Source organism: Homo sapiens, chromosome Y (assembly GCF_000001405.40).
Source record: "Homo sapiens chromosome Y, GRCh38.p14 Primary Assembly".
NCBI lineage: Eukaryota > Metazoa > Chordata > Mammalia > Primates > Hominidae > Homo > Homo sapiens.
Genome location: NC_000024.10, coordinates 11,204,824 through 11,215,546, shown reverse-complemented (window position 1 = coordinate 11,215,546; position 10,723 = coordinate 11,204,824). Strand labels below are relative to the sequence as shown.

General features: G+C 42.9%; 1 long non-coding RNA gene across 1 annotated transcript; it reads left to right on the top strand.

Moving 5' to 3' along the window:
* Positions 1-549: 549 nt before the first annotated feature.
* Positions 550-8,907, top strand: LOC105379273 (uncharacterized). Its single transcript, XR_002958840.2, has 3 exons — positions 550-609; positions 2,745-2,803; positions 8,866-8,907. It is a non-coding gene; the product is annotated as an uncharacterized LOC105379273 (long non-coding RNA).
* The last annotated feature ends 1,816 nt before the right edge of the window (positions 8,908-10,723 follow it).

Sequence of the window (10,723 nt, the reverse complement as noted above, 5' to 3'; positions counted from 1 at the left end):
GATCAACATGGTGAAACCCCGTTTCTACTAAAAATACAAAAATTAGGCGAGTGTGGTGGCGCCCGCCTGTAATCCCAGATACTCAGGAGGCTGGGGCAGGAGAATCTCTTGAACCTGGGAGGCAGAGTTTGCAGTGAGCCAAGATCGCACCATTGCACTCCAGCCTGGGTGACAGAGCGAGACTCCATCTCAAAAGAAAAAAAGTTACTCATTAACAGCATAGACCAATTGGTTTCTATTGGAATTTCTCCATTATTTTCACAATGTCCCAGGCTGTGAAACCAGGATTTAATAACGAACCAGAATGCCACATCTGTGTCACGTGGGTAGGGACCAGTCCTGATCCATCAAGTCCGGGTCTCCGGGTAACTGGACTCACTGCTGGGCAAAACAGAATGTCCGGCGTGCGTTCCTAACGGGGGACCACAGAGCCTCATAGGAAATGTAGTGTCACCTTCCAATGATGTTACCATGAAGGACCTTGGGAACCAGCTTTTCTCTCTGCGCATGCGCCGCCCCGCCCACTTCGCCATTTTCCTCCGGAAGTGCGGATCCCAGCGGCCGTCCTGTAGCTGAGCAGGCCTGGGGCTTGGTTCTATGTCCCTGTGGGTAGGTGTGAGGGCGAAGAGGAACCTGTGGGCCTCGGGGGATCCTGGGGGGCCAGACCAGTGTTCCCCATTTGTGGGGGCAGACGCGTGAGCGCATCGCGGGCAGGAGGGGCCTGACGTGCATTTGCGGGCCGTGGACCCTGGCGGGGGCTGGGAGGACAGGCGTGGGGTCCCAGCAGTGAAGCGGGTTCCAGAGGCGCAGGAGTGGGTAGGCGAGGGTGGTGGCCCTGGGCCCGGAGTCTGCAGGCCGCGCTCCTGTCCTGCCGCTGAGAGACCCGGTTACCAACCCTCATGTAGCTCAGTTTGCCCATCTGTCCCGGTGCTAACACACAGTTCTCGGGAGACGTTCCCCATTCCCAGAGGAGTAGTGCGAAATGCGTGTGCCTCTAGTCTTAAGCTGGGCGTTTGTATTAGTTGGGTTTCCTGGTGTCTATTTGGCAAGTGAAGCTTCTGGTTCCCTCCTTCACTGTGTGACCTGCCTAGTCCTCCTGGATTGCATTTATGGAAGTTTATACGAGACCTAGTTTCCATGGAGGAACTCACTGATTCCGCGAGGGAGATGGGGTACTGGATGATGGTCTTCAGCCTTAAGGGTACTTCAGTCTTAACTGTGTGTTATAAAGTTCGAAAGGGAGGGTTCCCTATGAATAAGAAGCACACTTGAAAGAACAGCCCTCTGGTCTAACCTCTCACTAGTGCTTCAGAGGAGGATAAAAGGTCACAGGTGAAGATCCCAGTTTTCCTCGCTCAGGAAATATTAATTCTACTCCCTAGAATGCACAAGATTTGCAAAGACTAGGTGATAGTGGAAGGTTTGGAAGAACTTTCAGAAGGTTGAGGTGAATTCAGCTGAGAAGAACAGGCAAGGAGCTAGGAAATATTCCTTATTTGAAGGGGCCTGAAAGTGTGGTCTGGGGTGCAGGAGTGACCTGTCATACTTGAAAAGATTGAAATACTCTCCAAATACAGTCCCTTTCCTTCAACCTTAGCTTGTTGTTTCCAGTGTCTGAGATATATTAAACCTAGTCCATCACCAAATTTAGCATAGATTGTGAAGTTCTATTGATTGCATTTCATTTGTAATTTAAGACTTTCTCCCCCTACATAATTTCGTTAAAAACATATTGAATTCTATTCACTTAGGTGTAACAGTTAATATTTGCTGTTCAAGGAACTAATTAAACCTTACTGGCTTATAAAAAACAACCACCATTTTATTTGTTTGAAGTTCTGTGGATCTGCATTTTGGTGTGGTGGGTTCAGCTGGGTAGTTGATATATTTGTGTTGCCTGGATCACAAAACAGGCCTTAGTCGCCTGGTGCCTTGACTGAGCCTGGTTGGTTTAAGATAGTTTCCTTCACAATCTGGCGGTTTGTGGTGACTCTTGGCTAGGCAATGTGTCTCCAACAGGGTAGCTCCAGACCTCTTCACAATATGACTGTGTCCAAAAAGGCAAGAACCAATGGATATTTGCATCACATTTTCCATTGTCCATTCTCTGGACAAGTCAGATGGAAAAGCCCAATTTATTGTCAGAGCATAATATGAGGGCTTGGATACAGGGAAAGGTGTTATTGGGAAACATGTGTAGAATGGTGTACTGCCGGAAATACATATTATGTACATTTTAAAAAACGTAGGCCAAAATTGCTGGGTTGCAAGATGTACTTTCCATGATGTTGAGGTATAGAAAAGCAAGATGTACTGTCATGGGAATACTCATATGAAGTTATTTGTGGAATCCACATATTAATAGGAAAATAGTTAATACAGCCCAGTATATTTCTATAACATTTATTTTAGTGAACTTATAATGTTTCTTTGTATTAAATTATTAGATTATATCTTTAGGTAATATTGTTACTAAATTAGTAGGTAATACATATTTTTATTCAAAAATAAATTGTACATCTAATGCCTACCAATTAATGTACTTGTAGATGTATCTTATCTTAACTTGAGTCTTTGCTGCCCCTAATGAGGTGTGAAGGACTCTTCTCCCATGGGGAAGTTTTTCTTTTTCCGGAGGGAGGAGGGCTTTTCCAGGTAATGTGTCTAGAGTGTTGGGCAGAAGAATCTGGGACCACACCTCACCAGTTCTCTCCTTAATCGATGTCATTTGCCTTCTCTTCCAGCTATGTTTCCAGTGTCCTCTGGGTGTTTCCAAGAGCAACAAGAAACGAATAAATCTCTGGTGAGTTGTTTATTTGTTCTTCACTTTGTTTTACACTGTATTTTCTGAGTTTATGGGTGTCTGTGAATTAAAAAGCAAAAGTGGAAATAAGTAAAACTCAGGTTGAAGGAAATATACATAAATAAGATAAAGCTGACCTGTAGATATAGACAGGTTATAAAAGCTTAGAGTTGTCTAAGTTGAGTGCAAAGTTTCCTCTGATCTTTCTGATGCCAAAACAAAAAAGGCAGTCATGTTTGTTACGTGATTGGAATGGAACCCGAAAAGAGAGCATGCTGTGTTCTTGTGGGACAGGAAAGCTTGTGTGCACCAAGGCTTAACCACCACCTTCACTGGTGACATAGATTATGTGCTGGAACATATTTCACACTGGTCTGGCAGTAAGCACTTGTAGTGTTGTGCAGTGGAAACAGTCATCTTCCGCTAAGGCATGTCATGTTGTGCAGTGGAAATGGTCATCTGACGCTAAAGCACAGCGTGTTGTACAGTGGAAATGGTCATTGTCTGCTAAAGCACGGCGTGTTGTGCAGTGGAAATGGTCATCTACTGCTAAAGCACAGCTTCCATCATAAGGTATGCTCCTTACTCAAAGAGTGTGGTCCCAAACAGCTTTTGGGAGGTCCTCCTTGACTCATGGATGAAACCTGGAATGTCTTGAGGACTGAGTTAACCACAGGTCCTTAAATAACTCTCCACACATTTTTCTTAGTTTATCTCTACATGCAGGGTGTGCAGCAGCCTGTTCAAAGTCATATTTTCTGGGAAATATTTTCAGTGTTTATTTGCAATTTAGCCCACTCTGTGTAGTCTTAACTTATTTCTTCTAAACTCACCATTAACCCAAATAATAGTCAAATTTAGGGGAGCTGTATTTGTCTTACTCGAGTCTTCTACCATAGTTGAAACTGTCGTACCCAAGCGAGTTAGAGAGAAATGCCACACTTTGAGACGAATTCAGGAGTCCGTTATTAGCTGGTGACTGAGAGATGGCTAACACAGGAAATACTCTCGGCCCTAAAGAATGGGCTAGATTTTCTTTTATACATTGGTTTAGAGAGGGGAGGGGGGATTCCAGCTGCAATAAACTTACAGAAGAAAAAACAGACAAAAAACTTAAAAAGACAGATGGTTACAGGAAAACAAACTGTTCCAGGTGCAGAGGCTTTAAATTCACCACAAAGTGATGTGTGAGGGGGCTCTGGACATTATCTGCCAGACAAATGTGGGGGCTTTATGATATTATCTCTGAGTAATTTGCTGGGAACTGCGGATATCACTTGCCTCAGCACTTTATCAGTTAATTGCACTCTTTGATATGTTGAAAATCAGCTTGCACAAGTTAAAGTCCTTGAGGAAAGGGGGTGGGTAAGGAGCCCTTGATATCTTGTAAATGAAGGAGCCAAATGGAGTTTGTCTGGTTTTCTCAGCTAAGGGAGAGTCTATTCATCTTAAAAACAAGGTTAGCTATCTAAGGAAGAGCCTATTCATGTTAATACAACGTTGGGTATTACAAAACGTCTGTTCATGATCTGGAAATTCTTCCGTGTTAGTTCTGTTAAAAGAAAAACTTTAAAGGAGTTTAATTGAGCAATAAACAATTCACGAATCGGAAAGTCCCCAGAATCACAGCAGATTCACAGAGACTCCAGCATAGTCATGTGGTGGAAGAAGATTTATAGACAAAAGGGAAGTGGCATACCGAAATCGGAAGTGAAGTACAGAAACAACTCAGCATTTGCCTTGTTTGAGCACAGTTTGAACATTTGGCAGTGCCTGAGTGGTTGAAGTTTGGCCATTGGGATTGGCCAAGATGTAGCTGTTGTTTGAGGTGCATACACTCAAGTTAGGTTTTCATTCTTGTTTACCTATCAAGGTAGGTTGCAGGTCATCCACAAGGACTCATATATATAATTATGGAGTCCTTCTCAGGACATACTTAGTTCACTTTAACAATGCCTTCCCTTTGGTTATTTTCTCAATTTTGAGAGATTGGCCAAAACTTCAGTCACTGGTGTCACTATTACCATTGCAAATGTACTTATTTGGTTTAGAAGCCCACTGGGAAATAGAACAGTGAGATTTGAAAAGGTGGAACAAGGACTTGAGTAGAAGGTGTCTTCTTATGCTGGAACATCCTGTTTACAGGAGAAAAACAAAACCTGGTTTGTTCTAGGATTTATGTGTTTCCTTAAAGTCTTAATTTGATTATGTTCCATTTAGCATGAGTGACTCCATTTTGGTTTGGTTTGTTCTGTTGGGACCTATTGCATGAGCTTAGTTCAAAACAATGGCCTCCCATAATTTTGCTTAAAAATTCCTCCTTTTGGCTGGGCGCGGTGGCTCATGCCTGTAATCCCAGCACTTTGGGAGGCTGAGGTGGGCAGATCACGAGATCAGGAGATTGAGACCATCCTTGCTAATACGGTGAAACCTCATCTCTACTAAATACACAAAAAAATAGCCAAGCATGCTGGCGGGTGCCTGTAGTCCCAGCTACTCAGGAGGCTGAGGCAGGAGAATGGCCTGAACCCAGGAGGCAGAGCTTGCAGTGAGCCGAGATCATGCCACTGCACTCCACTCTGGGGGACAGAGCAAGACTCTGTCTCAGAAAAAAAAAAAAAAAATCCTCCTTTTTAGTCAAGTTGTCACTTAGTTGAGAGTGTGACCAAAATGTAGGGCCTTAGCCTCACTCTTAGTTACCATTGTTTTGCGTTTCCAGTTTAGCACATCACTCCCATTGTTTGGGTTCTGGTTTTAGCATGTTACTCCCATTGTTTTGGGTTTCTGGTTTAGCACGTCACTCCCATTGTTTTGGGTTCTGGTTTTAGTACATCACTCCCATTGCTTTGGGTTCCGGTTTTAGTACATCAGTCCCATTGTTTTGGGTTTCTGGTTTAGCATGTCACTCCCATTGTTTTGGGTTTCCAGTTTAGCATGTCACTCATAGGTTATGGTGTCCTTATGGTTGCACATTTTTTTTAATCTGTTGTCATTCCAGTTGAAGAGATACCAATTGACATTTTAGAGATGGCTGCATGCAAACTCTTAAAACATTTGAGTAAGTACAGTGCACCAGGGAGACTCTTATGACTATTTGGATAACACCAAGAATTTGGTGTATGCTCCTTACTCAGGGTCCCCATAAATCAAACCATCTAAAATCAAATAGATTAAAGAATGAATTAGATAAAGAGTTTACTTGCTTAACTAAGTGGGATTTTTTGTTAATTCCTTACAACAAAATCTTTATAATACCCAATGTTTTCTCCATATGCCATGTTAGCAGCTGCACAGATACTTAAGATAAGAGTCTCATGAGAGTAGAGAAGTCTTGATCTGTGATCTTGGGAAAAGCTGTTCACATTAAGGATGCCATCTTCTTCTGGGGGGGAACTGTCCTTGTTAGCTTTACCTTAAGGGTTCCAGAGGGTGTATGGTTCCGAGTGTGGAGGGACCCTTCTGAGTTGTAAGACTATGAACCCAAAGTTTAAGGTTTTGAAGTTTTGCTGTCACGTGGATGGCAAGGGCAGTCCTCTGATGTTCTCAGAAAATCCAGTCATCAGATTCTAGATTGTGAAGGGGTTGGCTGTCCTCTGTGAACCATAAAAGGCTTTCTTTAGCTGGTGAAAATACAATTCAGCATAATAATCTACTGTTTTAACATCAACCCTCTTGCATGGAAGAGCTTTTATACAATCAGAAAACATGCACTGAAAATTACAACTGAATGAAATCCCTTTATAAAATGTTTAAATGGCCCATCAGGTAACCAAATGTACCTGAAGTTTTGATTGTTTTCCTAGGAATATAGGTTCGACAAACCAAACATTGATTATAAACTATTCTAGCAATTTAGAGATCACCACAGCAATATATTTAATTTGGATCATTTTCTCTTTCCATGATGAGTTATGGAATGCAGAACTTTTAATAACAAAAGTTTTAAGGACTTAAGATGGACAAGGTGGCCATCCTGGTCCTTCATAAGTCCATGCTTAATTAACATTAGACTTACATCCTCTTGAATACCAGCTGTTTCTTCAAATTAGGTGCATGGCACTGGTAACTGATGAGTTATAGGTAATTTGGCTTAGACCATGGAGTTTATTTAAATTATATATCTAAACAATTTCAATATTGGTGATTTAGCATGCAAATCTGGCAAAATATTTCCTTGATATTCAATTTTTGTTTTACTTGGGTTAGCAGTTTTATAAACCAGTTGGTCTTCTTATTAAACTTTAGGATTTTTTTTTTTTTTTTTTTTTTTTTTGAGACAGAGTCTCACTCTGTTACCTAGGTTGGAGTGCAGTGGCACAATCTTGGCTCACCGCAACCTCCGCCTCCTGGGTTCAAGTGATTCTCCTGCCTCAGCCTCCCGAGTAGCTGGGATTACAGATGCATATCACCACACCCGGCTAATTTTTGTAGTTTTAGTAGAGGCGGGGTTTCACCATTGGCCAGGCTGGTCTCAAACTCCTGACCTCAAGTGATCCACCGGCCTCAGCCTCCCAAAGTGCTGGGATTGCCAACATGAGCCACTGCACCCAGCCTAACTTTTGTGAATTCTTAACCAGTCCAATTATTGGGGGATCGGGGAACTTATGGGGAATTTTTACCCATGATATTAAAGTTATTAGAAACCTGTGTTCCCGAGTGTTTTTCATGGTCCTTTTCATTCTTTCATGAATCTTCTATTCTAGAATTTTGCATGCTTGTGAAGTTTTTAGAAACTGCATCACCTTTAAGCAATTAACTGTGGGAATGACTTTAAATAGTTATAGTTAAAGACAATTGATAAGGAAATTTGGTTATTTCTGTGGTCTACAATAACTTAATAACCATAATTAGGGTGGATGTGGTGGCTCATTATTGTAATCCCAGCTCTTTGAGAGGCCAAGTTAGGTGGATCACCTGAGGTCAGGAGTTTGAGACCAGCCTGGCCAACATGGTAAATCCCTGTCTCTACTAAAAATAAAAAAATTAGCTGGATGTGGTGGCAGTTGTCTGTAATCCCAGCTACTTGGGAGGCTGAGGCAGGAGAAATGCTTGAACCCAGGAGGTGGAGGCTTCAGTGAGCCTAGATCACACCATTGCACTCCAGCCTAGGTGACAAGAGTGAAACTCTGTCTCAAAGCAAACAAAACAGGTAATTATGATAGATAGCATATAGGCATATTAGAATTTTAGAATCCTGGCCGGGTGCAGTGGCTCAGGCCTGTAATCCCAGCACTTTGGGAGGCCGAGGTGGAAGGATCACGAGGTCAGGAGATGAGAACATCCTGGCTAACACGGTGAAACCCCGTCTCTACTAAAAATACAAAAATTAGCTTGGCATGGTGGTGGATGCCTGTAGTCCCAGCTACTCGGGAGGCTGAAGCAGGAGAATGGCATGAACCCAGGAGGCGGAGGTTGCAGTGAGCCGAGATTGTGCCACTGTACTCCAGCCTGGGTGACAGAGCAAGACTCCGTCTCGGGGGAAAAAAAAAAAAGAATTTTAGAAATCCTATACAATTTTAGAACGGGTTGATGACATAAACTAAATATAACCTGAAGAAGGTTCAACATTATGTTTTATTTTGACAGTGCTACCCATGTGACTTAACATGTTAAATAGTCTTGTTTACCTCTCTTTTGTGTGCTTCAAGGGCCTCTGTAGTATCCCAAAGTTAGAGGTCGGAAAAGACAATTTTGAAGTTGAAATTTGATTTTGGGAAGCCTATTAAATATATTAAAAGTTTAAACACTTGATGTTATGAAATAGAATTCCAGGTCACCGTAAGTCATTCATTTACTTAAAATCATGACTTAAAAAAAGTTTTAAAGGGCAAAAATCTTTACTCATTGATAGAGGGAAGACTTATCTTCACAAACGATCTGCCTCTTGTTTTTCCTTTTTTTTTTTGTTTGGTAGTTTATTTAAAAGGCAAACAAATTTTTCATTATTTTTTAATATTACCTGAACATCTTCTTTAAAGAGAGAAAGCCAAATGTCACCCACTTTTTCATAAAACCTTATAGACAAATCTATTATTCTTTCTTTTTTTTTTTTTTTTTTTGAGATGGATTTTCCCTCTTGTTGCCCAGGCTGGAGTGCAATGGTGTGATCTCGGTTCACTGCAACCCCCTGCCTCCCGGGTTCAAGCAATTCTCCTGCCCCAGCCTCCTGAGTAGCTGGGATTAGAGGCATGTGCCACCGTGCCCAGCTAATTTTGTGTTTTTAGAAGAGACGGGGTTTTTCCTTGTTTGTCAGGCTGGCCCTGAACTCCTGACCTCAGGTGATCCACCTGCCTCAGCCTCCCCAAGTGTTGGGATTACAGGCACGAGCCACTGCACCTGGCCATTTTTTTTTTTTTTAAAGATTGTGTCTTGCTCTGTCACTCTCCTCACCACATTATAGCTCTGGGGCCAAGCTGCATCACAATGGAAAATCATGGAATCACAGGAAGAATCCACTCAGCTTTGCAAGATGCTGCCCAAGGGGTTGCTTGGAGTAACCAAATTAACATTTTTCATTCTGCCCAGAGCAAAATACATGTGACAAAACATAGACACGTGCCACTTTGCTCAGCACCCAGTATCAAACTGGTAAGACTCAAACTTGCTCCCAGATGGGCCGAGCCATCTCTAAATCTTTTTAGAAGCTTCTGCATATTAATAGGCATCCCTAGATAAGACTAATTTGGGAGCCCTCATTTTTAAATGCACTTCAGGGCATTATTCATTTGGAATGTTCCACTGTAAGTTATCTTAATAAGATTTTGCCATTTCTGTAAGACTTTGCTGCTTCCCAGGCCTAATATATTAGCCAGAAGGAGCTTAGTTTTCCAGAAATTAAGGATCCTATTGTTACCTAAAATATTGGCTTTACTCCCCGGTTCCCTTCATTAACTTAGCCAATGATTTTTTTTTCTTGCCTAAGCGTGTGAGAAAATGAAACAAAGGGGTAGAACACAAAAATCCCTGTGAATTTTCAAAAGCCAAATGTTACAACCTTCCAATATTATCATTTACTACCACTTTCCTTCTGACCCAGTCAGATGTAGGAGGCCTCTAACTCGAACTGGATTCAAGCCAGTTAACTACTGGATCAAATCTGATCCTGGACCCGGTCTCTTTTCTGCCATAACGTCTAAAACATCCAGCCAGTCATGGCTGGATAGCAGTTTGGAACAGAAATTTGCTCAAAGAAACTCAGAGCTCAAAACACAAATCCATGGAGCTCTGAAATCCGAGAGAAAATTTACCATGATCCCTAGCTGCTGCAAGAGATCAAAGGACACAAGTGTTAGAGAATCCTGAGGTGTCACTTTTCTGCCTGAAACCTCTGGCTGGTGGAGCCTTTACCTGTGCTTTGTTCGGGCCCACTGGGTTAGTTCTGTCCACTCAGCCCATGCTAGTGGTCTGGATCCCACACCTGCCAAGGGCGAGCTGGGTACAGAGCAGTGAGGGGTGTGTGAGCAAGCGAGCATGGGATCTGGCCACTTCACTCAGCCAAGCATGCCAGCTGCAGTGGGGTGGGCAGCTCCAGGCACAGGTGCCATCTCCCTGTGAGGCTGCAGCTGGACCAGGCCAACTGCAAACAGCTTCCACTGTGGGTATCAGGGAATGCAGTGGCACCCAGAAGCTTGGAGATGCAGGACCTGCAGAGCCCCAAAGAAGGTGTCACAGCCCTGGCTGGGGGAGCTCCTAGGTCTGTGTTCCCTGAAGGGACACAGCTCTTCTCTCCTTCTCTCTTCTCTTCTTCTTGCCTGCAATTTGGCAAGCAAGGAGTGCGTTTCAGCCCTGTTTATGTTACACCTCTTTCAGCCCTGCTAGTTGGCAGGTCCCGAGTTCTTGTCCTGAGTCCAGGAAAAATGAGGTGTGTGGACAAGTAGAAGGTGAGCAAGGTGAAGAGGTGCTTTATTGAGCCACAGTGCA